Source organism: Homo sapiens, chromosome 11 (genome assembly GCF_000001405.40).
Source record: "Homo sapiens chromosome 11, GRCh38.p14 Primary Assembly".
NCBI lineage: Eukaryota > Metazoa > Chordata > Mammalia > Primates > Hominidae > Homo > Homo sapiens.
In genome coordinates, this window is record NC_000011.10 from 96,365,946 (window position 1) to 96,393,800 (window position 27,855).

A 27,855-nucleotide genomic window follows, 5' to 3' on the forward strand; every position below is an offset into this window, starting at 1 on the left:
AGTATCCAATATACTGACAGTTTACTTTTTATATTATATGATTGAAAACTACATTTTCTGGTGGTCAACTTTTCATATTTCTCATACTTCATGGCACTTTATGACATGTATTACTTACAGGCTGAAATTCAGACTGAATAGATAACTAACCACCTTCCTTTCCTGCTTCTGCTATACCCCATGGAAGCACATGTTAAGATGAAACCTTTATCGACCTCTATCAGCTCAGTTCCCTGAGTGACTACAGTCAGCAGAGCACCCCTGATGACTAACACTGGATATATAAGTGAAAATAAACTTTGTTGGGTTAAGCCATTGGGATTTTATTGTTGGTTTATTTTGTTTGTTAGTTATATTCTTTATCTTTTGAAGCATAACCCAGCTTATCCTAATTAAGATCTTACTGAATCATCTGTGTCTCAGTTTTTCAGCTAATACTTTTTGGTATCTTACAGTTATTATCCCAACATCAGATTATCCAAATTCAGTATCACCCACCACAATATGGTAAAACCTAATATGGCATACAGGCATGGGTTTTGGAGTCTGAGACTCTGGGTTTAATACCAGCCTGTCTAATTATTAGCAGTGGAACCTTATGTTACTTTATTTTTCTGAGACAGTTTCCTCATCTCTAAAAGAGGGGAAATAATAGTGCCCTCCAGCTGGCCACAGTGGCGCGTGCCTGTAGCCCCAGAAACTCAGGAGGCTGAGGTGGGAGGATCTCGAGCCCAGAAGTTCAAGTTCAGCCTGGGCCACAGAACGAGACCCCTCTATTCCCTCCAAAAATAGTGTCTTCCTCATGGGGTTACTTTGAAGATAAAAAAAATTTTAGTTTACATGTAGATTACTTGGCTAAAGTTAAATAATCTATAAATACAGTACAGGTATACCTCAGAGAAACTGCAGATTTGGTTCCAGATCACCAAAATAAAGTAAATATATCAATAACGTGTCACACAAATTTTGTGGTTTCCTAGTACACATAAAAGTTATGTTTACACTGTACTGTAGTCTATTAAGCATGCAACAGAATTATGTCTAAAATGTATGTAATTTAAACTACATTTAATTAAAAAGTACTTTAGGTCTAAAAAATGCTAACAATCATCTGAACCTCCAGTGAATAGGCATCTTTTTGCTGATAGAGGGTCTTGCCTCAATAGGATGGCTACTGACTGATAAGGGGCTAGTTGCTGAAGGCTGGGGTAGCTGTGGCAATTTCTTAAAACAAGACAATAAAGTTTGTTGCATCCATTCTTAAGACAACAATAAAGTTTGTTGCATCCACTGACTCTTCCTTTCATGAAAGATTTCTCTGTAGCATGCAATGCTGTTTGATTGTATATTTGATTGTATGTTATACAGAATAGAACTTATTTCAAAATTGGAGTCAATCCTCTCAAACCCTGACACTGCTTTAACAACCATATTTTAAATCCACTGTTGTCATTTCAACAATGTTTGTAGTATCTTTCCTTTCCTAGGAGTAGTTTCCATCTCAAGAAACCACGTTCTTTGCTTATCCGTAAGAAGCAACTCCTCATCCATTCAATTTTTATCATGAGATTGCAGCAATCCAGTCACATCTTTAAGTTTCACTTCTACTTCTAGTTCTCTTGCTATTTCAACCATATCTGTAGTTACTTCCTCCACTGAGGTCTTGAACCCCTTCAAGTCATCCAGGAGGGTTGGAATCAAATTCTTTCAATTTAATTGTTAATGTTGATATTTTTACCTTCTCTCATGAATCATAAATGTCCTTGATGGCATCTAGAATGGTGAATACTTTCCAGAAGGTTTTTAATTTACTTTGCCTAGATACATCAGAAGAATCACTGTCTATGGCTGCTACAATCTTATGAAATGTATTTCTTTTTTTTTTTTTTTTTTTGAGACAGGGTCTTGCTGTGTCACCCAGACTGAGTGCAGTGGTGTGATTTCGGCTCACTGCAACCTCTGCCTCCCAGGTTCAAGCGATTCTCCTGTTTCAGCCTCCCCAGTAGCTGGAATTACAGGTGTGCACCATAATGCCTGGCTAATTTTTGTATGTTTAGTAGATACGGGGTTTCACCATGTTGGCCAGTCTGGTCTCAAACTCCTGACCTCAGGTGATCCACCACCTCGGCCACCCAAAATGCTGGGATTACAGGCCTGAGCCACCACACCTGGCCTGGAATTTATTTCCTAAATAATAAAACTTGAAAGTCAAAATTACTCCTTGATCCATAGGCTGCAGAATGGATGTGCTGGGAGGTATTAAAATGATATTAATCTCCTTGTAAATCTCCATCAGAATTCTTGGGTGACCCGGTGCACTGTCAATGAGGAATAATATTTTGAAAAGAATCTTTTTTTTTCTGAGTAGTAGGTCTTAACAGTGGTCCAAAAATATTCAGTAAACTATGCTATAAACAGATGTGCTATCATTCAGGTTTTGTTGTTCCATTTATAGAGCACAAACAGAGTCAGTTTAGCATAATTCTCAAAGGACCCTTGGATTCTAGGAATGGTAAATGAGCACTGGCTTCAACTTAGGTCACCAGCTGCATTAGCCCCTAACAAGAGAGTCAGCCTGTCCTTTGGAGCTTTGAAGCCAGGCATTTACTTCTTTTTAGCTATAAAAGTCCTAGATGGTAGGCTGGGTGCAGTGGCTCACGTCCGTAATCCCAGCACTTTGGGAGGCTGAGGCAGGCGGATCATGAGGTCAGGAGATCGAGACCATCCTGGATAAGATGGCGAAACCCCGTCTCTACTAAAAATACAAAAAATCAGCCAGGCGTGGTGGCAGGCGCCTGTAGTCCCAGCTCCTCAGGAGGCTGAGGCAGGAGAATGGCGTGAACCCAGAAGGCGGAGCTTGCAGTGAGCCGAGATTGCGCCACTGCACTCCAACCTGGGCGATGGAGAGAGACTCCGTCTCAAAAAAAAAAAAAGGCATCTTCTTCTAACAAAAGACCATTTTGTCTACTCTGAAAAAATCTGTTGTTTACTTTCATCAGTTATCTTAGCTAGTTTTTCTGGACAACTTGCTGCAGCTTCTCCATTAGCACTTGCTGCTTCACCTTTGCACTTTTACGTTATGGAGATGGCTTCTTTCTTTAAACCTCATAAATTGAACCAACCTCTGCTATCTCCAAACTTTTCTTCTGAAGCTTCCTCACCTCACTGAGCATTCATGGAATTGAAGAGTTACGGCCTTGCTCTGGATTAGTCTTTAGCTTACACGAATGTTGTAGCTAGTTTGATCTTCAATCCATACCACTAAAACATTCTCCATGTCAGCAATAAGGCTGTTTCAATCATTTATGTATTATTTTTAATTTCCTTCAAGAACTTTCCTTTGCATTCACAACTTGACTAACTGTCTGGCACAAGAGCAAGAGGCTTACATTTCAGCCTATCTGAACTTTTGACATGCTTTCCTCAAAAAGCTTAATCATTTCTCACTTTAGATTTAAAGTGAGAGACCTGCAACTCTTCCTTTCACTTGAACGATCAGAGGCCATTTTAGGGTTATTAATTGACCTAATTTCATTACCGTTGTGTCTTAAGGAATAAGGATGCCTGAGGAGAGGAAGAGAGATGGGAAAACAGCCAGTTGGTGGAGCAGTCAGCACACACATTTGTAAATTAAGTTCACTATTATATGGGCATGGTTTCTGTCACCCTCAAACAATTATAATAGTAACATCAAAGATCACTGACCACAGATCACCATAAAAGATGTAATAATAATGAAAAAGTTTGAAATACTGCAATAATTACCAAAATGTGACAGAGATGAATAAGCATATGGTGTTAGAAAAATGGTGCCAACAGACTTGCTCCATGCAGTTGCCAAAAACTTTCAATCTCAAAAAAATACATTATCTGCAAAGTGCAATAAAGTGGAATGCAACAAAACGAGGTATGCTTATATATGCTATTTTTCTATTAAACAGTATTTATGCCATGTTCTAAAAGCTGTGCCTGTACTTTATCTTCAAAGAAAATAAGTATATACAGTATTTCATTTCACAATAGGTAAATATTTTCCACCTATGAAGAAGAAATGGGTTCAGAGAGGTTAAATTTATCAAAAGTCAAAAACTCAATAGCCCTAAACTCAAGCCATCCTCCAACTTGAAGTCTTTTAAACTCTTTCTGTAATCCTACACTGTCTTATAAACCTAATCTATGGCTAATTTATCACCATATAATTCAACAAGGCTGAAAAGCCTTGGATGAAACCAAATCTCTTGGCATAAATGAGGTACAAGAACTAATGATTTAAGTGCTAAAAGGATTTTAAATAACTTAAACTTCAATTATCTTTTTATTTTTCCTCTTCCTAATCATTAGAATATAGAATGTTAGAAGTAACAGGGAGAAAACCCTTACAAATCATATAGTACATCCTCTGCTATTAAAGATCATAAAATAGATAACTGGTACATGAAACAAAATGTGGCAAATCTTATAAATTAAAAAGATAAATTATAAATTCTTCAAATTGGTAGAATTAAGCAATCTTAAAGCAAAGAAAGATGCCAAACACTATCTAGACCAGTGTTTCCCAAACAATGTGTTATGGAAATCAAGCAGGTAACAGGTGTTACCTGTTTACATAAACAGAGCTTCACAGAGTAAAACACAAATTTAGGAAATACTGCATTCCATACCACCCTTTGAATATTTATAACATAAATTCACATATAATGCTTGGGAAAAGTCTTCCAGTAAAGAAACCAGCTTACAACCCCTGATTCTCAAATTTCTTTGACCATGGAACTCTCTTTTCTGACATAACAACACCGTGTGAGACAATCTTCTCATTTTAAAAGATGGGCTAAGCCCTGGAGATGTTCTGAAGTTATTCATCATTTGGAACCACTTAATTATTGGATAGATATAGTTAATGTGAAGGATTAAAACAATAATAACTTTTAGAAGATGTGAGAAATAATAAGCTGATTATTTAACAAAGACATGCCAATATTTTAGAAGATTATTCAGTCTGGATTTTAAAATCCTGAGAGGTTTGCTGCCCCCAACCCCCAAGCAGAGATTCAAAAACAAACTGTGTACCTTATATTGCTCTTTCCAACGACTTCTAGATACCAAGCTCTCTAGACGAGGCTGAACAAAGCGGTTATCCAAATAATGAAGAGATGTTAGCATATCTTTTGCATATGATTTTTGCCTTGTGCCATCTGTTCAGGGGATAAACAACAAAAAAAATCATTTTGTTAATTAGAAATATTTAAACTATTTAATACTTAAAAATTTCTTCCCAACTTGGTTGGAAGCATTTTAAATTAGGAAAAAAAATATTTAAAAAATCATTCCATCAGAACATTAAGGAAAAACAGGGTAGGCCGGGCACGGTGCCTCATGCCTGTAATCCCAGCACTTTGGGAGGCCGAGGTGGGTGCATTACGAGGTCAGGAGATCGAGACCATCCTGGCTAACACGGTGAAACCCCATCTCTACTAAAAATACAAAAAATTAGCCAGGCGTGGTAGCGGGCACCTGTAGTCCCAGCTACTCGGGAGGCTGAGGCAGGAGAATGGTGTGAACCCGGGAGGGGGAGCTTATAGTGAGCTGAGATCGCACCACTGTACTCCAGCCTGGGTGATAGAGTGAGACTCCGTCTCAAAAAGTTCCCTTTGTAAGCATCAAGCTTTAACATTACTTTCTGATAACAAAAAAAGTCAGATGAAAAAGCTTATCAAATTATCTTTTATTCTCTTATACAAAACTGACATGAATTAGCCCCTGAATTCCAGATAAAGTTCAAACTTCTGAATAGGCTTTCAAGGCCGTCTACAATTGACTCCATTCTACTGATCCCATGGTAACTCCTTGTGTCAACAAATCAGAATACTCTTTTCTAGCTAGGCGTTTTCCTCATTCTTCTTTAGCATGCTACACTCATTACTGCCTTTCTGATTTGGCTCATAGTATATTCTCTATATACATCTGTCATCGTATGAATTTAAGCTTTATTTTCTTGCCTTATTTGAAGTTTTATTAATTAATTTAACTAATAAATTTATCATGTTTCTTTAAATAATCACAAATTCAAACACCTTACCATAGCTTACAAAGCCCTTCTGTCCTCAGCCTACTCCTCTGAGCTCCTCTCTTTTCCCTCTCTCCTGTCTCATTCCACTTCAGCCACAAAGGCCTTCTAGTTGTTCTTGAACACACCAAACTTACTCTTTCCTAAAGGCCTTAGCACCTCCTTTGCCCTCTGCTAAGCAAGTAATCCACGTATTACTTGCTCCCTTTGCTTCATTCAGGTTTCTGTTTAAAAGCTACCCCAAGAGGCCTTTTTTGACTAATCTAACTAGCAGATAACATAAACTTTACCTTCCCTTATTCTCAATCTTCTTACCCTATTTTATTTTTTTGCAAGAACTAATCACCACTGAAATCGTATTATATTTTGTTTACTCATTTATTGTCTGTCTCTCCCATTAGACTATAAGTAACATGAGTGCAGGAATCTAATATGCCTTAAGTCACTGTCACATCCCCAGCCCTCAAATAATGCCTAGCTTATAGTAGACATTCAATAAATATTTGTTCAATATATTGTAAATGAAATCTTATTTGGCAATTAGTTATTCAACACAATATATTTATAGTCTATTAAATGCCAGATTCTGTGCTAGATGCAAGAGAAATGGGGATATATATATATAAATATAAATATATATATAAATATAAATATATATAAACATATATAAATATAAATAAATATATAAAAATATATATATACATATATATTTATATATATAAATATATAAATATACGTATATTTATATATATATTTATAAATTTGCTCCCACACTATGATAAGGGAAGAAAGCAAAAATACATTTTCAATACAACATGAAAAGTGCATATAAATGAGTACTATGAGTATTACCATACTCAGAATGATGGCGGCACAAATGAGAATGATAAATATTATGTGAATGGGTCATAGATAGATTCATAGTACAAATGTTTTTACACTCACCTAAAACATCTGGGACAAAAAGGGATTCTATTCTAAGAAGAAACAGCATGGACAAAGGCACAAAAGCAGAAAACAGCATGGAACTTTTAATGAAATTCAGAGCTCAGAGAGGCTGGGTTTGGCACATGGGTATTAAGACACTCTGCTGTTTTAGGTGTTATCCTGTCAAATTCACTGTTAACTCCCTAAGGGAAAGGACCTGTCACAAACTTACCTTCCACATATCTCAGATAATGAACACTAACAAGCATTTTACATGAATGGAGTTTTGATGTAGTTGATCCTACAGGGAAAACATTGGAAGGTCTTACAAATGATCCTCATTGGTTTTGTTTAATCTACATAGTTTTAAAAGTGAGGTTGTTTTAAAATTGGAAAAAGAAATAAAAACCAATTGTTTCATTCATAGTATTAACTTACCATATAATGTTCCCAGAAAAGATTCATCTAAAGCGTTGATCAGAAGAGCCTTCACAACTCTTTCAAAATGAGTATAGTGGTCACTAAAAGAATCTGAAATTAATTTCAAATAAATATTAGAACAGAGCAGACAAAATAATTTCTTGAATACAATAGGTTCCATTCTCCACTGCTAAGAAATTAAAACTATAGATAGCACAAACAGCTTAATCATCCTAATTTTATAGCTTCCTCGATGACTTGTTTAGTCACGGAGCAAATCTCCATTTTCCAAACTTACTGGCTTCCAATCCAAAGTGTCTACTTGTAATTTCAAATCTTTACTTCCCAAACTTAAGAAAACTGTTCAGAGAATATTAAAATAAGTTTAAAAAATAAAAATTATCCCTTGCACACCTATATTTAATTATCAATTTGACACTTAGAGTGACAGAACAAGAGAGAAAACCTCCAAAGACAGATTAATATGTCTTATTCTGTAAAACGCGTTACATATGAAATTGTCCAGGGAACTGCTATCTTAGCCAGAACCCCAATGGCTACAAAAACTTCATTTCCCTTTTCATGCTGCCCCAGATTTAGGATTTTCTACATCAATTTAGAAAACTTGTCTATTTCCTTCCCCATACCACATATTTAAGCCCACTTCCTCGCTAACCAAATCTCACACATGACATCATCTGTTGTGACAGGCCAGGCAGTGGTTAAGAGAGAAGATTCCTACTATTCTCATTACTTTTGGATCAGAGTTTACTATGACTGTGGAAATGTTCTCTATCAACCACGACCCATTCCTTGATCCAACAGTCACTGTAGAATACATGCCCTGCTCAGGGCACCTGTGAAGACATATTAAGGGCAGACTGAGTATTTCGAGAAATATAGAAGATGTCTGACAAGGGATTAAAGCAAAATAAGACCTATCATTAGCAACCATGGATAGATTTTGACTCTCCTTCCACTTGAAGTAAAAAGAAAGATGGGATTCAACATGGAAAACCCTCTTCATTTATATTTTAGTTACTCAAAGGGCTGTATAACTCTCTTTCAGACTTTAGGGTACATTTTAGTATGCATTCTTTTCTAAGGAGACACCTATAGAAGTGCTAAAGAGACAAAAATAAAGTAATACTAAAAATAAATGACAATAGCAGATCATTTGGCCATTAGCCTTTAGATGGCCTATGATCAAAGGCAATAATCATGGCCTTTAATGAATATAATATTTTCTTAAAAATCAGTACGGCATAATTGAAAAATGAAATAATACTTCATTTTGTTACACAGGTAAACTCATGTCATAAGGGTCTGTTGTACTGATTATTTCATCACCCAGGAATTAGACCCAGTACCCAATAGTTATCTTTTCTGCTTCTCTCCCTCCTCCTACTCTCCACCCTCAAAAAATTAATATTGTTGACATTTTAAACATCTCTGCCAGATATGTTATAAGCAAGTAATAATGGTTATGAATTTATTTATTAGATAGATTTGTCTAATTTCATTTTGGATTGTAATTTATTTACATTGCCACTAGTGAATCTTATTAAAAATTTCTAAATAAATAAGTAAATAAATTTGGGGGACATGCAAACATTCAGACCAAAAAGAAAAAAAAAAGAAATAATACTTCAATAGAATTTGACTAGACTGTTATCAAACTCTGGACATAATATAATATTGGGCAATTTTATTTGTGTTAAAATCCATCTAAACTGTATCTATAAAAGCATTTCTCAAATGGTATTAAGAGAAACTGGGACTATTAACAGATGTGTTGAGAAACAAATCAAATTCATCCCATGTGCACCTAAGTTTAACTATCATACAAATTGCATAGAATATTTCATCCTACTGAAGGTATCATTCTTGAATGTCCTTATGCCCAGTGCTACTCATTTGCTATAGAGTCTTGAGAACTAACTGCTGCTCTATTTCAAAGACCCTGAGAGGAAATTGAAAGGGCAGAGATCAAAATCATTTGAGAAGTCTTGTCCCTAACCATAAGATTCTTCTTTTATCAATGGATATCAGAATGTACTTCAAAAAAGTCAGGAAAAAGGCACCTATTTCATTATGCTTGAGTAGACTGGTGGGTGGTGGTGGGTTAATGCTCCTGGAATTTCAAATTGAAAAATAATATTACTGAGCAAAATATATGCCAGGCATCATTGTAAGCATTTACATGCATTGCTTTATTTTTCACAACAAGCCTGTGGGATACTACCATTATCCTAGATTCATTTCTGGTTGAGAAAACTGAAATATAGAGAGGATGAAAAACTTTCCTAAGACCAAACAGTAAGTTTCGGAACTAGGGCTGGAACCCCATCTAAGTCCAGATTTCATGTTCCTATCCCCTAGTTAAATATTGTTACACATGGTAGATTTGATATATGTCACAACACAAAATTTAGACTTGGATGGAAAACTGGAGAAAATAAAATTCAAATCTCCCATCTTAAGAAAAATGGCATTCTCAATGACAAAATAACTTATCCAAGGTGACATAACTAGACGGAGGCAAAATAAGGCTTAGAGCTCAGCTCTCCTTCAGAGCTTTTCTCATAGTGCTTTAATCCCTATATTGAATGAGCTTCTGTGGAATGTCCCAGGAATATTGTTTTAAACAATATTTTAAACATTTTAAATAAGTTTTCCCCATGACTATTTAAAAAACTGGAAAAAGTATTAAAGAGGAAACTATATTTGTGTTTATGCATAACTTATTTTTTCTAAGGTAATCAATTTCCTTATAGCCAATCATTTGGTAGTCTAATCATTCTTTGTTGATTTCCATGTATCCTTTATCACATACTAATTTCACATATATGCCAAGATTTTTTTTCAAACCATCTGCCCTTCCTACTGGTCTGGCTGTCATTCTTTAGAATTGTTTTGCAAAGTTTAACCAAAAAAACTAATTTCAGAAGAAATAACTTCTTGTTCTACGCATATTACCTTTCAGAAACATGCTTGTCTCTCCGCTTATCCATGTTTTCTGTTCTGTTTCACAGTAAAGTGTATTTTTTTTAACCTATCAAGCCGTGCTTTTCTTTTTTTTTTTTTTGAGCCGGAGTCTTACTCTTGTCACCCAGGCTAGAATGCAGTGGCACGATCTTGGCTCACTGCAACCTCCGCCTCCCAGGTTCAAGCGATTCTCTTGCCTCAGCCTCCTGAGTAGCTGGGATTACAGGCGCCCGCCACCATGCCTGGCTAATTTTTGTACTTTTAGTAGAGACAGGGTTTCTGTGTGTTGGCCAGGCTGGTCTCGAACTCCTGACCTCAGGTGATCCGCCCTCCTCAGTCTCCCAAAATGCTGGGATTACAGGCGTGAGCCACCGCGCCTGGCCTGCTTTTCTTCTTAATATTAGGCTTAGGAACTTTATTTTGGTTGCGATTGTAGATGGAATTTTTCCTGATTATATCATTTAAGTAATTATTGCTAGTATACAAGAGAACCATTGAGATTTACATACTTACTGTGAATCTGGTGATTTTTCTGAGATCTTTTACCAATTTCAAAATAGTCAGATTCTCTTGGATATTTCTGGGAGATAAGCTTCCTGGGACACTACAGAGCTGGAGATGGACACTGTTAAAGGATTCCTGGACACTATCTCTGCTTTCTCCCACAACCCCCAGGAGGATGTGGTCTTGCTAGTGGTAAATTTATTTCAAGAACCAAGAGAATGTTTACAAATATTCGCTTAGGTAAAAGCATGTAGATTTTTGATGTACTTTCTTCTGGAATGGAGATATCAGCCTAGTGTATGAGGCAGAGGCAGAACAAGAAACTGATTTCTTTTTCTACTTTAACATATCTCCCCTATCTTCACCCTTGTAGGGCAAAAAGAATGTGATGCAAGCCATGAAAAGATATGCTACGTCTACTCCTGCTTTTAAAGTATTTATATCCCTTCTCTTAACTTCTGTATCCTTTGTTAAGTCAGAAACTTTTAGCTTATATGTGTGTACATAATACACACACACACACACACACATATTATGTTCAAATAATGTCTTTTCTTTTTCAATAGTTATATTTCTTTTGTTTTCATGTCTTGTTGCATTTTTCAAAACATCTAGAACAAAGTCAGTAGAAAATATTTTTGTCATGTTCCTCATTTTAAGTATGCTGTTGTCTCTTGGTTTAAAATACTGTCATGTAAAGGACGTATGTTCCTATTACTAATTTTTTAACAACTGCTTTTCTTAAAAGCCAGGTATGGACATTGAATGTTACCAATGTTTCTCCTAGAATCTCAATAAATTATATGACTTTTTCTCTATTGATATATTAATGTGATATATTAATGTAATATATTAATGACTTCTAATATTAAGCCATTTTTATAGTTCTAAAAAGAATGATTAGGGATCTTTTTCTTTATTCTTGTAATTACATAAACAGTTCATACATCTGTTTGCAAAACTATTTTCATCAATTTATTAGCAATGTGGGCCTCTTTAATCTGCATAAATGTGTTACGCATTATGAAAATACCTCAAGAATACTTTCTTCTATAATAACCTTGAATTCATATCTTATGTTTTCCCATCCAAAAATATGGTATGATTTTTAGTACATTCAAATTTTCTTTTACATATCTAAAGTTATACAATTTTCTTCCTTTACATTTCCATTTGTTCTGTATTTCTGCCACTCCCTCCCCCAAATTTGTGAAATAGGGTCTTCGTTTGTAGTCCTTTATTATCTTCTCCTTTATAACTATTTTTTTCTTCTCTACCCTAGAACTTCTCAACTATCTCCTGTCATTCATGAGATTTTCTGTACTGTTAATTCTGCTATCTACTGCTTTCCATAGACTTTATTTCTGACTTTACATTTTAAAATTTTTGGCAATTCTTATTTTAGCTAGCTCCCTTTCACCTCAAATTGTTATCTCCTTATAACTTCTTTTTCATAGACTGCATAGCAAATGCTTTATAGCATTTTCTTGTTTCTTTTAATGAAACACTTTTCACAGTTATTTTCTTCCTCTGAGTCTACCTTTACCTTATACTGCAATAAATTTCACAGGTACTTTTTACTTATCCTAGAACAAGGGAAAGTTCTAAGATTTAATATTTAACATAAATGGTTCTGAGTCCATTCTTAGGCCCACTCTTTATTGTGTTAATAGAATGATTTTCTTTAATTAGTAGATGGAGACTAAGTGGATGTTCACTTAGTCTAATTTCCAGTGTTCTAGCAAGGCACTAGTAGACCGAAATGTATTCTACTCTTATCTCTACTCCTTGATTCTGTCCCTCTGAATATATAATAGAGTACTGGATAAATAATATTTAGTATCCACAAATCTGAAGATTTTTCCTCTTTACCTGCATACAATATTTTTAGTGTGTGAACTATGTAAATGTGGCATGCAATGGACCACTGCTATTTTGTCCCTCTACTCCCTACCATATCTTTTCCAAGAATTGTAGTTTCAGAATAAATATAAAGAGACACTAATAGGGATTGATAATAAAAGAAAAAGACTATGACTGTAGCAAGAGGGAAACTACCCTGTGGTGCATCTCTCAGAGCCAAATGGCAGATAGGAAATTACAAAATGTCTTCCTATAGGTAAGAATTGCTCACTTCAAAAAGGCAAGTACATGGACTACTGATTCCGATTGTCAACTGAAATACTGAATTTAGAGTTAGGAGATTTTCTCCCAAATTCTCATATGTTGAATATGATTCGTTGGCAGGAGAATGAATCTGGGAATACTAGCCTAATTACAACTTAACCCAAGTCGTAGAGTGGTGTTCATTATTCATCACATAGGTTACTGTTTTAATGAGAAAATGTACTTTGATTTTCAAATGCAATTTTTAGAACATAATTCCCTGGCAAATTGAAAACTGTCTATATTAAATTTTATTTATTATATTTAGATATGGTATAAAATTGCTAAATATTAAAAATATCAACTCAATCATAAATTATCACTCTAGAATATGTGAATTTTTTTCTCTAATGTTTGAAAAAATCTGATGTCCAATATTTCTCTGAGTCTTGAACTGTAACATTCAGGAGTCTTTAGCCAATATGCTTATCTTAATCATCTATAGGAACTTAACAATGAGTTCCTATAAGGTGTCACGAACTCTAATGGGTACTAGAAATATAGAAAAGGGAAGCTGGTTAACTATTTAGGTTTTGTTTTTGTTTTTTGGAAGTAGGGGCACCCACATGGCTTGTTTTATTGAGCTTTACTACTTTATATACCATAAAATTCACTCTTTTTGGTGTACAGTTCTATGGCCAATGCATAAAATTACATAACCAACACCAAAACAGTTCTATCACCACCCAAAACTCCTTCATATTACCTCTTAATCATTCAGTTTTGTTCCTATTGAGCCTGAGATGTCTGAAAGTCTGATAACAATCTTCAATAAGATAAAAACAAATTAGGCTTTATGTTCAGGAAAAATCTTGGCTAGAGATAAATGTTTGGGAATTTCTGCTTAACGACTGGACTGAAGTAATGGGAAAGAGACTGCCCAAACCCACAACCAAAATGAAGATAGTTGAGGATGGAACCCCTGGAAACATCAAAATTTACATGGTAAATAGTAATAGAGGAAAGGAATATTACAAACGGAAATGCAAGAAAAGTAGGGTACCACAGAAAGTAGAAGAGCATTCTGAAAGTGAGAGTGGTCAATGGTAGTAAAGTACATGACAATACCTGGTTAATATAAGAACTAAAGGTATTTTGGCAATTAGGAGGGTATCAATAACTTCAGTAAGAACAATTTCACTGGACTGACACAAGCAAGAGCCTGAATACAGTGCTTTGTAGAGTTACTGGGAAATGGGAACAAAAAGATAAAATTTAAAATAGTAGCTAATGGAACATGCCAACTCAAAGGAGGAAAGGCATGAACTTGGTTACAAGTTGAGGAAAAAGAGTTTGTAGGGATAAAATCATTGAAAATAAAGAGAACTGAGTAGATAATAGAGCCGAATGAGAAGCTGTAATTAAGAATACACAAGATAAAATATGTTGCATAAAAACATATACATCTTCCTGAGGTAGAGATGCTCAGTATTAACAGGAAGCCTCAGTATTTAAAGGAAACCTCCTCATATTTACCTAAATGAGTTGAAAACTTATGTCCATAGAAAAACCTGCACATGAATGTTTATAGCAGCTTTATTCACAATTGCCAAAACTTGTAAGCAACCAAGATGTCTTTCAATAGGTGAATGGATGAACAAAACTGTGGTACATCCATACAATGAAAAATATTCAGCGATAAAAAGAAATGCGCTATTAAGCCACATTTAGACATGGAGGAAACCTAAGTGCATATTATTAAGTGAAAGAAGACAATCTGAAAAGTTATATGCTGTGTGATTCCAACTATATGACAGTTTGGCAAAAGCAAAACTATGGAGAGGGTAAAAACATCAGTGATTCAGAGGAGGGAGGAAAGGAGAATGAATTAAAGCACAGGGCATTTTGAGGACAATGAAACTACTCTGTATGATAGTGTAATGGTAGATACATGTCATTACACACTTGTCAAAACCCATAAAAGGTACTAAAAAATGAGCCCTGTTGTGAAGTATGAACTACAGTTAATAACTGTAACAGAGGTACCAAACTAATAAAAGAGGTTAATAATAGGGGAAACTGTGTACGTGAGGAAGTATATTTGAACTCTGTACATTCCATTCAATATTTCTGTAACTCCAAAAGTGCCCTTAAAAAAAACAACTAAAAGGTGTAAAGAAGTTGAAGTTCCCATATGCTAGCCTTTTATTTCCATTAATTGGCAGGAGTTGATATGAGTTGGCATCTCTCAGCAAATGTTCCATCACATTCTAGATAACCCAAAATAGGATATCTCCTAATTGAGTATCCCTGTAATTTAAATGTCCAGGTGGCAAGTGAACCAGTGCCTACTGATATAAGGAAAACAGTCATTAACTTGCAGTGTAGAGATAACTGTAACTGGCATCTCTATAACTGCCAAATTTCTTGAAATTTGATTCATATCTCCAAATCCACTATTTTATTATAAATCATGAGATATAAATCAAGTCATGTCACACTTTATTTTAGTCAATATGGCCTTTTCTGAAATATTTGGAAAGAATGCACTCAAAGAAAAAAAATAAAAGTATATCCATCCAACACCTTGTTCCTACCAGAGCTGTAAAACATCATAAAAACAATCTTTGAAATTTTGTAGAATTATAGGAATCATAATAATAATAATTTAAATATATCCTACATTTTCAGGTTCCATGATTTATATTTTCATGTAAGTAACGTCCTATCTCTGATAGGTTTCACTGTTTGAGAGAAGCTTCAAAAAGTCTGATAAAACCAATGGTTCTCAAAGTGTTTGTCCGCAGACCCCTGATAGTGCCCAAGTCCATTTAAGGAAATCTGTGATTTCAAGTAATAACAATATTATTTATTTGCTTTTTTCACTGTGTTGACATTTTCATTGATGATGTAAAAGCAGTGATGGGTAAGGCAGCTGGCCCCTTAACTTGAATCATGGCAGTAGCATCAAACTACTAGTAATCATTACTGTCATTACCACTATGCACTCACAGTAAAAAAAGCCACTTTCACTTAAGAATGTCCTCGTTGAAGCAGTAAAACTATTAACTGTATTAAATCTTGAATGTGAAGTACACATCTTTGTAGTACTCTATAGGATGAAATGGAAAGTGCATAAAAAGCACTCATACTGCATACCAAAGTACAATGGTTGTTTTGAGGGAAAAACACCTGTGCAACTGTGTGTGTGGGGGGAAAGCCTCATTTTTCATGAAATACCATTTTTATTTGAAAGAAAGAGTGACAAGCTCTGGTTATTCAGACTTGGGAATCTGTCAGACTTTTCTCAAAAAAGAACAAAGTAAGCCTGTCAGTTCAAAAAGAACAATTCGGTGTTTTGTCGCCAATGAAAACAATCAAGTTTTAAAGCAGAAATTAGAATTTTGAAAAACTTGTATGTGCTATTCTGAGCCTGACGGCTTCTCAATACCTGAGAAATATTCTCATGGGATTGGTGGTGATATTAATGAATATAATTAAAAATATATATATAATGAAATATGTCAATATTTTGGAGGATCTGTATCATCCAGTGAACCAGTATTTTCCAAATGACTGATGCATTTTATCACAAAATCATGCATGGGGAAATTATCTATTTAAACTGCACGACAGACCAATGGTTGTAATGCAAGTACTAAAAGTTCATTTATATGGTTTTGAATTCCATATTATCTTTAAGAAAACAGTATCATTTGTCAAATTTTGGCATAGTATCAAATGAGAATATCAACAATTATTTTTAAAATACTATTAAAATACTCCTCCCTTTTCCAGCTACCTGTGTGAGGCAAAATTGTTTTCATACACTTCAACCAAAACAACATGTCACAACAGACTGAACGTAAAAGCAGATATAAGAATCTAGCTGGCTTCTATAAGCTAGACATTAAAGATTTACAAGAATGTAAAACAATGCCATTTATCACATTTTGGGGAAAAATATAGTTACTTTTCATAAAATTGTTATTTACATTAATGTAATAAATTTACTAAGGATTATTTTAAATGAATTAATAAATATATTTTAAATTTCTGAGTTTTGATTTCTACAATGGTAAATATTGACAGGCATAACTCATTGAAGTAAAGGCGTGTTGGGGTTAATAATTTTGAAAAATGTAAATGGTTCCTGAGACCACTGGAATAAACTATTAAACTGACAAGGTTATCTGAAAATGAAACCACAGTTTCTAGTCAATGATTTAGAACATGATATTAAAAGGCTAATTTGATACTTGATAAAATATCATGAGAACAATTCATGAAACATTTTCTTAATATTGAACTTACAAAGAGAATTCTGTTTTACTAATTTCAGTTGTGATGTAGTCAATTTTTCTCCTTGTTGGTTTTTATTCTCTTCATCACCCTCCTCATCTTGCACTACAAAGTCATCGATAATATAATCATCTCCATCTTCATCAGATTCATAATTATCCTCTTCTTCCTCCTCATCAACTTCATCACTGCTTGGGCAAGATTCCTTTTCAGAGTCCTAATTAAATTAAAATAAATGCTTCAGTAAATGGTGCTATTAAAACGGTAAGCATCGATATAAAATTAAAACATTAAATCTGACAGCAAAAAAATGATCCATAGTAATTAACTTCATATTTTAAAGTTAAAAATAAATAATTTTGTCATATTAAATGCTGAACTTTTGAAATTATTAAGAAGAATATACCTTGGTTAAGTGATGTAAAATGTTTAAAATGGACATTAGAATTATAAGAAGTTAAAAACAAGAAAGATCATATAAAATAACAAATAGTCTTTCAATTTTAAAAAAGGATGGACTGAGGCTCATGATAAAACAGTATATTACGTACAATAGTGTAATCAAACATGTTCAAGAATACTTGATTAAAAAATAAATTCTAGAATTATTGAGAAATGGAACGGACTCAGCACTTTTTTATAAAAATTAAATACTTTAAGAAAAAAACTGAAAAACAATAACAAATCCAACAAAATATAACACACCTCAAAATCTCTACCACTACTGCGTCTCTGACGAGATCTTTGTTTTGAGAGTTCTTTGAGCTTCTGAAGTTTTTCTCGCTTTTGTGCAGCTAATGTTTTTTCAGGAGTCTTTTGCTCCATTTCCACTGAAGAACCTTCATCTTCAACCACTCTACGGGGACGTTTAACACCTACTTTTCTAACTAGGATATCGCTGTCATCACTCTCATCACTGTCACACATCACAGAGGATAGCCTTTTTCTTTTTCCTCGCTTGATGTCTTCTTCTTCTAAATCATCCTCTATTATTTGTCCAGTTTGTTTGTTGAGATCATTATCCTCTTGACTTAAATGTTTTTCCTGATCATCCTCTATTATTTGTCCAGTTTGTTTGTTGAGATCATTATCCTCTTGACTTAAATGTTTTTCCTGATCTTGTAAGTCAATATTCCTATGTTTGATTTTGTTCGTTTCTTCTTCATATGTTGAACCGTTGCCAGAGTTAATGAGACACTTACTGTCATTTCCTTCACTTTGAATTTTACTTAAGTTGAGCTCTCTTTCACTTCCTGGTGTTTTATTACAATCAGGTCCCTTGTTACTATCAAGCTCTTCATCATTTTCAAAACTTTCATCACTATCAAGCTCTTCATCACTATCAAATTCTTCACTATCAAGCTCTTCATCACTATCAAGTAATTGTGAGATACTACTTCTTTTAGTTCGCCTCCAATCAACTCGAGATTTCTGCTCAGGCACGTGACTCTTAGAATTTCTCCTTGTTTCATGTCTTCTAACATGTATCATTTTCACTTAAGCTTCTATAAAATAAAGTTGTTAGGAATATAACAGTGATAACCAGATTAGAGCAATGAATGCATTTATGGTATAAATTATATTTATTTGGCTTTATTTAATGGTCCACAAACACAAAATCACATGAAATATCTGAGTGAAGATGGTAGAACATTAATTTAACAAATAATTTACTGAATGCCCATGAAATAATTATATGAACATCTACTCTGAATTACGTTGTATGTTGTGCTGCAAGGGATACATAGAAAAATCATGGTGCTGTCCTTCAGAAGATTATTATCTATATGTAGAACTAAAATATCTAAAACATATAATAATTAAGAAAATTTCAAGGTAATATTTAGTATCAAATGAATAACATAAATAACTGCAAGAGAAGTGGAAAGATGCAGGGAGATCAGTAAGGCAAGTGCTTCACTTTATCTTGAACAGATGTGATCTAATAGCATTCTGAAGGATTCATTGTATTTGAACAGAAAGAACGAAAGAAAAAGGGATGTCAGGCAAGTAATATGGTAAGGGCAAACTCTGGCTTTAAGAAAGAAGATGGTATGTTCAGTAAATAAGCATGGCTTAAAATGTATAAAAAAGAGTTTTATGCTGGAAAAAAGGAGAAAAGAATAGAAAACTGAATGGGATTACCAGGATGACTCACCCTGTAGGCAAAGGATTCTGAATAGAGAAATGATATAAAGTATAAAAGATCAATTTACACGAAGAAAGTTATAAAGTAACAAATGACATAAAGAAGACAGCAGTGAAAAATTGAGAGATAATATATCCACTAAGATTGTAGCCTCTTTATACCTTAGTAAAATGGGAGTGGCTTTCCCCTCAAAGTTAAATACACAATATAACCAATAGAAAACTTAACTAACAATCCAATAATGTAGTTAAGTGAATAAAACAAGTAAGTTCCACGGCAAAGCAGAGCATAGTATTGGGAAGGAAAACAAAAGCTGTCAGTTTATCATTTAGAAAAGAATGAATTCCATTAAAATTATCACAAGTATATATTAAAAGAACAATTAGTGACACGTAAGATAACTAGAAAAAATAACATATGTAGTTCTGTGGTTGTTAGGGAATAGAAATATGACAATGTAATGAGACCGACCTCAAACTACATGTTAGAGGTATATATTGAACTGACAGCTATCCCCACCAAAGAAATCACCTTATGAGGCTGATTATTCCAATATTTCCACCACAGCACAGAATATTCCTGGAGTCTTTCTATAAACCACACACTATAAAAAATCTAAAAATATGAAAATAATCACACTTCATTTTTTATCCCAAACAGTGACTTTAACACCCACTTCATTCACTTGTCTCGGTTATAAGGACCTGTTAGCAGCTTGCAGAAATGAAATCCAACTTAAGAAGATGAGAATTAACTACCATTAAAAATCTTCAAAAAATGTGCTGCGAATTCTGAAGGTAATTACAAAAATTCAATGCCAAAAATTTTTTGAGCAATGGGAATCTTACCGGACTATGTTTCCAGCTTTCCAAGAGGATTACTTTTTTCCTATAGATTGTGGAAGAGAGGATACAGCTCATTTAATTGTACAAATTCTGGTATGTTTATACGGCAATAAGACTTTCTGTATAATGGTTAACACCTCATGTAAAATCAGAACGGGGGCTGCCAAAATTATACAGCAGAAATTATAGCGTGTAGGATGAAATATAACTTTTATTTTTTTAAGAGATAGGTCTTGTCCTGTTGTCCAGGCTGGAGTGCAGTGGCATGATCATAGATTACTACAGCCTTGAACTCCTGGGGCTCAAGCGATATGTTTCGATTTTTAAATTTTTTGTAGAGATGGAGGTCTCACTATGTCCTGATCTCCTGACCTCAAGTGATCCTCCCACCTTGGCCTCAGTGCTGGGATTACAGGCATGAGCCATTGCCCAAAGTATAACCTTATGTCAGTAATTGCTATAAAATATAATCAGCATTGTAATAGCAATCTAACAAATTCTGGTCAACAGGGCAGTCTGCTATTTGAAATTACCCTTGGGTTGCATCTTACAAAAGGCTTATATTAAAATCAGCAAAGATGAAAATTGTGTGTAGTCAAAATTACCCTTTAAAAAAATCTCTATATTAAAGTATGGTTTTGTGTACACTATACTGCGTTACAATACGTCCACCCAGTTTCTCCTCCAGGTTTTAAGCAGCTTACTGTTTCTTTGGTTTAGCACCACACGAACTAGGCATCTTACATTTTTAAGCTGTATAGTACAAAAAAGTATTTGTAAACACATAAATTTGCGTAAGCTAAGTGTGCATATGTGCACGTGTAGTATATCACATTGTAATAACAAAGCATGGCTTTCTAATAAACCTGTTTGAATTGGGAGAAATAATGAAAAAACATTTATGAAAACAATGACAAATATGGTTGCAGTAGATACACTAAAGCAAATATGGACAGTAAAGAACATTAAAGTTAACGATGATTTTTATTAGTACCCAAAAGCAAATTCATATACACTAGATGATTATCTTACAAAACTATAACATGCCCAGAATGTCAGTTATTTATCATGAAACAGGTGATTCCTATGACAATGGTGGAAATGATTAAGAATCACACTATTAAAAACTTATGACTGCACAGTTAAGCCATAAAAGAAACTTTAAGTTTTTAGTGCATTTTCACATTGATTTTTAAATCCTGACAATGATCCTAGAAGGAAGATATCTATTTTTATGTGTAAATATCAAAGCCAAGGACATAGAGTTTAAATGACTTACCGAAGATCACGCAGCTTGTTAGTGACAGAGCAGGGATTAGAAACCGGGTCTCTTGATTCCCCGTCCAGTGCCACACAATGACGGCTGCCAATATCACATTTGTACAAGATAGTAAAAATTAAGCCTTTAAAAATCATTATTTTTATCTCTCATTCATGCTGTATTTTAGTTTCAGAAAAATAACGATTAAAATGGTTTAGAGTTTACAAATATGCTTTTTTAAAAAATTATGTAACCGAATTTTACTGCACGAGTTAGGCCAGAAACTTCTGTAAATTATTATCCACCAGGCAAGAAAAGAGTATTTGCAGACTTCCCTCTTATCATCTTATTAATAACACCAATTGCAAAATTTAAAGGAGTCCCCAGTGAGCCCAAAAGTAAAATTTCAAAGAAAGGCAGTCTCTGATGAGAAACATATTTTGGAAAACTGCAGAATTTGAATGCCTGAGGCAGCATCTTTTATTTAAACAAAATAAATCAGGTTTCATTGGACCAACTGCCAAATTGCCAGGGTCTCTCATATTTCAAAATGACCATTTATATCAGTAAGGTAAAAAATTCTGTTACTGAAAAGGAAAGACACTTTGAATATGTTTGGCTCTTCTTTTTAAATTGTAGGTAGCTTTACTATATTAGCTGGGAAGGGAAGAATGATAACGGAGGGAAAAGGTGAGTGAACCTCGGAAGAGAAATGTGAAGGAAAGCTAGTTTGATGGGTAAGATACCTCTTGGTCTTCAGAATCTACTCAAAAGAGAATCCATGCAAATGAATGTTACTTCTGTATATGTTGAATATACACTTAATTTCCTGAAATGAGAATTTTATCGAGCTTCTGTAATGATACCTTACCTTTAAGCAAAGAGAAAAACAGAGACTCCAAACAGAAAGCATTAAATAAGTGAATGAAGATGATCAATACTATCACATCTTTGTGTTTCATGGTTAATATAAGATGCACATACATAGCTATGTTATCTGCCAAAGAATATATATTAAAGACAATAATCCATATTGCTTGTGTTCTTTCTCTAACACAGTAACTCTATAGCTAAAAGTACTTTGATGATGCCATTTGACTTTCTCATCAGAAGAAATATAGTTCCTTCTAAACTTTGAGGTTAATTCATACTCAAGAAAAGATTCATTCTAGAAATCACCTACTTGCTGTATAAACAATGCAGGTGGTAGTTAACACTTTACAGATTTGAAAGGCAGTGGAACCCCAGGTCATTATTTGAAATTCTACCAGGAGGGATCCATTCTTGGGTGTAAAACATCACTCCTCTTCGATGTTTTCTTTTATATGGCAGTTTGGAGAGCAAAGATTAATAAGCCGAAAAATAATTATTGAATATCTACCAAAATGCAAGCACCTGCTAGGAACTGTGCTGCCACCATTTCAAATAAACATGGTCTCTGCTCCCAAGGAGCTCACAATCTGATGAAATTACTAGGGACACCAAAAACAAGCCAGCATAATACACGATTTGAGGGCTACAGTGTATGATTAAGATCAAGTTCTTATCACACTGCTATGAATAAATTTATCATAGTTCTTCTATTGGCAGGAAAACAAGACAGAACATGACAGAAATAGGATATAAGAAAATAAACATAAAGAGAGGAAAGCCTATTTCCCCCACTTAGAATCACAGTCCAACAGTCCACAATTTCGCAAAGTGGATCCTGCCAGCATGGTATCCGGGATAACTATATTATTCATTAAAATCCGTTAACAATGAAGGTTAATGCAGCAGGAATGAGTGGTAGACAGTGGAATAGATCCTCTCAGGAATTAACACCCGGAAGGGTGACTTTCATGATTACAAACCTCTTTGGCGGGACGCAGGAACCCAGCGCCCGCTAGCCCACTAGTCCGTCACTCTGCCTCCAGGAGGGAGGGGCACAGTAGCTAGGAAACCGGACCCTCAGGCCAAGCTTCGCGATGACGCGCGCAGGACGACGGAAACCCCCAGACCCCAAAAGAGCTCTGCACCGAGAAAACAATTACAAGGGTCTGGAAAGGCCAGAAACCCGAGAAATCACCAACCGAGCTCCCTACATCAGTTCCAAGCACCTCCCCAAGGCGGAAATAACGGGCACCGCGCCCACTGCAGCTCAGCTGAGGAGGGTTAGAGGCGCAAAGGGCTGAGGGGCGTTCTCCGGCCCACCCAAAGAGCGCCCGCGGGAATTTTTCTCTTAGTCCGCGAGGAGGCACGGCTTCCCCCGCCCCTCTCATAAACCATTAGCACCGGGAGCGCGAGCGAGTCCCAGCCGGGAGACAGCCCCGCACCGCCCTCGCGCTCTCACCTTTCAAAGCGCCTCCACCTCTGCCTCCGCCTCCGCCCCTGCCCCGGCAACCAGCTCAGGACAAGCGATGCTCCTCCCCCCCTTCCGGGGACCAAGGGAAGTCCCGCCTCTGGGTGGGGCGAGGGGTGGGGCCAGGCGGCGGGAGGGATCATCTTCCGGGAGCGTGGCTAGGGGCGGAGCGACTGCCGCGCGATAGTCAGGGAGCTGTGCGGGTCCTGGTTGCAAGAGAGGTGGGGAGAGGGGCCTGGCGGGTTTTGAGGGACTGGGAGGACTGTCCCGGCTAAAGCTGGCGCGGGAAACTGGGGCTGCGCGGCGGGAGGGCCCTGCTGCTGGGGAAGGAATCTAATATATCCGTTCCCCTGAGGAAGGGTGCCAGTCCTTGACTCCTAGGCTCTTCGGCTCTCTGTCGTAACTTTGGGGTGTGGCAGGGGTTAGTGACGCGCGGTTACCCGGGATCTGGACGTGCAGGAGGTTCGTGGCCACAATGGGGGTATAGTCTTTCTCACGGCTGCTGGGGTAATAAAACACATGCTTTTAATCCGGATTATCCGCGGTGACATGGGGCCTCCGCTACTGCCCGTATAAGTTAAAGAAAGGCCTGTTCTCTCAAACTTCCTCCTCTTTCACCTTCTTCTGCAGTCTATTTGCCAGCCAACCCCAGCCCGGGAGGGGATCAGGGCCACCAGGTTGCTGGTAAGGATGAAAGACTGAGTGTGTTAAGACTGTTGAAGTGAGCCTGTGTAAGAGAAGGAAGGATTTTGTGGATTGCTACATTGTGAGTGTGGGGTGAGTCCCAGAACCTCGCTATGTCAGGGAAACGGAAGCGTGTGGTGTTGACTATTAAAGATAAGCTTGATATAATAAAGAAACTTGAAGACGGAGGTTCTTCCAAACAACTGGCAGTGATTTATGGAATTGGTGAAACAACAGTTCGGGATATAAGAAAAAATAAGGAAAAGATTATAACTTATGCAAGCAGTTCTGATTCCACAAGTCTTTTGGCCAAGAGGAAATCTATGAAGCCATCCATGTATGAGGAATTGGACAGGGCAATGCTGGAATGGTTCAACCAGCAAAGAGCAAAAGGGAATCCCATATCTGGACCAATTTGTGCAAAAAGGGCAGAGTTCTTCTTTTATGCTTTGGGAATGGATGGTGATTTTAACCCCTCTGCCGGTTGGCTAACTCGTTTTAAGCAGCGGCACAGCATTAGAGAGATTAACATTAGAAATGAAAGATTAAATGGAGATGAGACTGCGGTGGAAGATTTTTGTAATAACTTTCGAGATTTTATTGAACGAGAGAATTTACAGCCTGAACAAATCTACAATGCAGATGAAACTGGACTCTTTTGGAAGTGCTTGCCTTCTAGGATTTCAGTAATCAAAGGTAAATGCACTGTCCCTGGGCACAAATCAATTGAAGAAAGAGTCACAATCATGTGTTGTGCCAATGCAACAGGTTTACACAAACTTAAACTTTGTGTTGTGGGGAAAGCAAAGAAACCTCGCTCCTTTAAATCAACTGACACCTTAAACCTGCCAGTCTCTTATTTCAGCCAAAAAGGTGCATGGATGGATCTTTCCATTTTCCGACAATGGTTTGATAAAATTTTTGTGCCGCAAGTTCGAGAGTATTTAAGATCTAAAGGCTTGCAGGAAAAGGCTGTGCTCTTGTTGGATAATTCACCAACACATCCAAATGAAAATGTCCTAAGGTCAGATGATGGCCAAATATTTGCTAAATATTTACCACCTAATGTGGCCTCATTGATTCAGCCTTCAGATCAGGGAGTCATAGCAACGATGAAGAGAAATTATCGTGCAGGTCTTCTCCAGAACAACTTGGAAGAAGGTAATGACCTGAAATCATTCTGGAAGAAGCTAACTCTGTTGGATGCACTTTATGAAATAGCAATGGCATGGAACTTAGTAAAACCAGTTACCATTAGCAGAGCATGGAAGAAGATTCTCCCTATGGTAGAGGAGAAAGAGAGCCTGGACTTTGATGTTGAAGATATTTCTGTGGCTACTGTGGCTGCCATTTTACAACACACCAAAGGATTGGAAAATGTGACTACTGAGAACCTTGAAAAATGGCTTGAAGTAGACAGTACTGAACCAGGCTATGAAGTGTTAACTGATAGCGAAATCATCAGAAGAGCACAAGGCCAGGCAGATGAATCCAGTGAAAATGAGGAGGAGGAAATAGAACTAATTCCAGAGAAACATATTAATCATGCAGCTGCCCTCCAGTGGACTGAAAATTTATTGGATTATCTAGAACAACAAGGTGATATGATTCTACCTGATAGACTGGTAATACGTAAACTTCGAGCCACCATCAGAAATAAACAGAAGATGACAAAGTCAAGTCAATAATGTCATTTCAATTTTATTGTTCTGCTCATTGTGTTTGTGACAAACTCTTTGCAATATGGCTTAATTTTCTTTGTGTTCTGAATTCTCAGACTTGGTCCTGTGAAATACAGGCACAAAATGTATCTGAAGTGGTTTGAGGATTATGTGTTTTCATCATCTGTGTCTTTTGTCCTTTTATTTGTACAGATAATCAGAAGATGATACTGAATAGATATAAATTACATGTACACATGTATTCACTTTTTAGAATCTGCAATTATACCTTCTGTAACAGTGGCATTCCCTTAATTTTCTAGTGAAAGTTAGAGATAACTGAACAGACTGAAGCACTTTTCTGAAATCTTTTGCTTGATTTATGAAGGCTGCCATAGTTATCTTTTCTTGTGTTAACCATCTTAAATGATGTTTTGTATATTTTAATAGACTGATAGGATGAGAAAGATTTATATTATTAGATTTCAGGATGATTTATAATAATTCAAAAATGAAATTCAATAATGGGGAAATAATTATGAATTATAGAAATTATGCCTTCATTCTCTTACATTTGTGTGGGTTGCAAGAGGGGGAGATTATTCTGGAAATGAAGTAAATATGGGAAGTTATTGCCAAATGAGAGAGAAACTATGGGAAAGCTGATCTATAAAGAGGCATTCTGATCAATTCATTTGTAGGAAACTGGGAAATAAAAACCTGGGGAACTTTAGGTTATTTATACAAAGGGAATAAATAGGCTGATTTTAATTTGGTAAGTTGATCTTTTTATTATGAATTTGGTAATAGTATAGGTTTATTATTTATTCATCTAATTTTATAGTACAGGTTTTGTAATGTTACATGTGATGATATGAGCTCCCACCTTATATGGGGGAACATCTTGGGAATTTGAGATTTAATAAGTTTTTTTTTTTTTTTTTTTAGTGTTTTTACTGCATACTCACAAATGTTGTCTATAATTTGAAAAATATTGTCATATCTGGCCCTTTGATGAGAAAAGGAAATTACAATAATAAAGTTTTATGATTTTAAATAAGTCATATGTTTGTATCCTGTTTTATGAAGAAAGCAGAAATAATTACTGAAAGTGCCAGACACTAAGGAATATTATTGTTTATTATTTTAATACATATAAAAAGGGATTAATCTGCTAAAATGTAATCTAAATCAGAATTTTGATAAATTTTTTTTGTAAACTAAGTATGTTTATTCAAGACATTGAAACTACTTTGCACATATGAATATTAATGTAACTTGTAATTTAAAAGTAAAGTGTTTCCATGCTATTTCATGTTTTGGCCAAAAATTTTTAAAAAATAAATTACAATTGTTCTCTATTAGTCATTTTTTAAAGGTTTAACTTTTTTTGTTGAAATACGTAACATTTTATAGTGCTTTCTGTAGAATACTAAAACTTCAAAAGTATTTTTAGTTTTCCATAATTTCTCTTATTTTCATGATAGGTGTATGTCTATATTTTTCAGAAGATGTGTGATGAAAGTGTTTAAAAATAGTGTTTATTGCATGAATTTCCTCAGTGTAGAGTGTGAAAAACCATCAGAAGTTAACATACATATTG

The 27,855-nt window shown here is 35.5% G+C and overlaps 2 protein-coding genes across 20 annotated transcripts in view, besides 1 other annotated feature; one reads left to right on the top strand and one right to left on the bottom strand.

Moving 5' to 3' along the window:
• The window catches only part of CCDC82 (coiled-coil domain containing 82), a 37,140-nt gene extending 13,173 nt beyond the window's left edge, over positions 1-23,967 (bottom strand). For 2 of the 18 annotated variants that reach the window (NM_024725.4, XM_024448693.2), the window contains exons 1-7: positions 23,899-23,967; positions 21,585-21,668; positions 20,309-20,348; positions 18,017-18,816; positions 17,324-17,528; positions 7,430-7,522; positions 5,068-5,192 (exon numbers count right to left, since the gene is read on the bottom strand). In NM_024725.4, the coding sequence (NP_079001.2) occupies positions 5,068-5,192; positions 7,430-7,522; positions 17,324-17,528; positions 18,017-18,802 (1,209 nt within the window). In that variant the 5' untranslated portion in view covers positions 18,803-18,816; positions 20,309-20,348; positions 21,585-21,668; positions 23,899-23,967. Of the gene's footprint in view, positions 1-5,067; positions 5,193-7,429; positions 7,523-14,589; positions 17,529-18,016; positions 18,817-19,991 lie in introns of those variants that run through there. The other 16 variants (XM_024448690.2, XM_047427606.1, NM_001437542.1 and 13 more) reach the window with 14 other exon arrangements.
• Positions 23,881-24,140: a silencer, noted in NCBI's record as "silent region_3855". NCBI's record gives its function as "represses an Ori minimal core promoter by ATAC-STARR-seq in GM12878 lymphoblastoid cells {active_cell/tissue: GM12878}" and the evidence as "EXISTENCE:reporter gene assay evidence [ECO:0000049][PMID:35858748]".
• JRKL (JRK like) lies at positions 24,068-27,616 on the top strand. Of its 2 annotated transcripts, NM_001261833.2 has the most exons (2): positions 24,068-24,128; positions 24,538-27,616. In NM_001261833.2, the coding sequence occupies exon 2, from the start codon at positions 24,705-24,707 to the stop codon at positions 26,277-26,279; it is 1,575 nt and encodes a 524-aa protein (NP_001248762.1). In that variant the 5' UTR covers positions 24,068-24,128; positions 24,538-24,704; the 3' UTR covers positions 26,280-27,616. The 2 variants fall into 2 exon arrangements, with proteins under 2 accessions (NP_001248762.1, NP_003763.2); NM_003772.4 differs by having other exon boundaries at positions 24,068-27,616.
• The last annotated feature ends 239 nt before the right edge of the window (positions 27,617-27,855 follow it).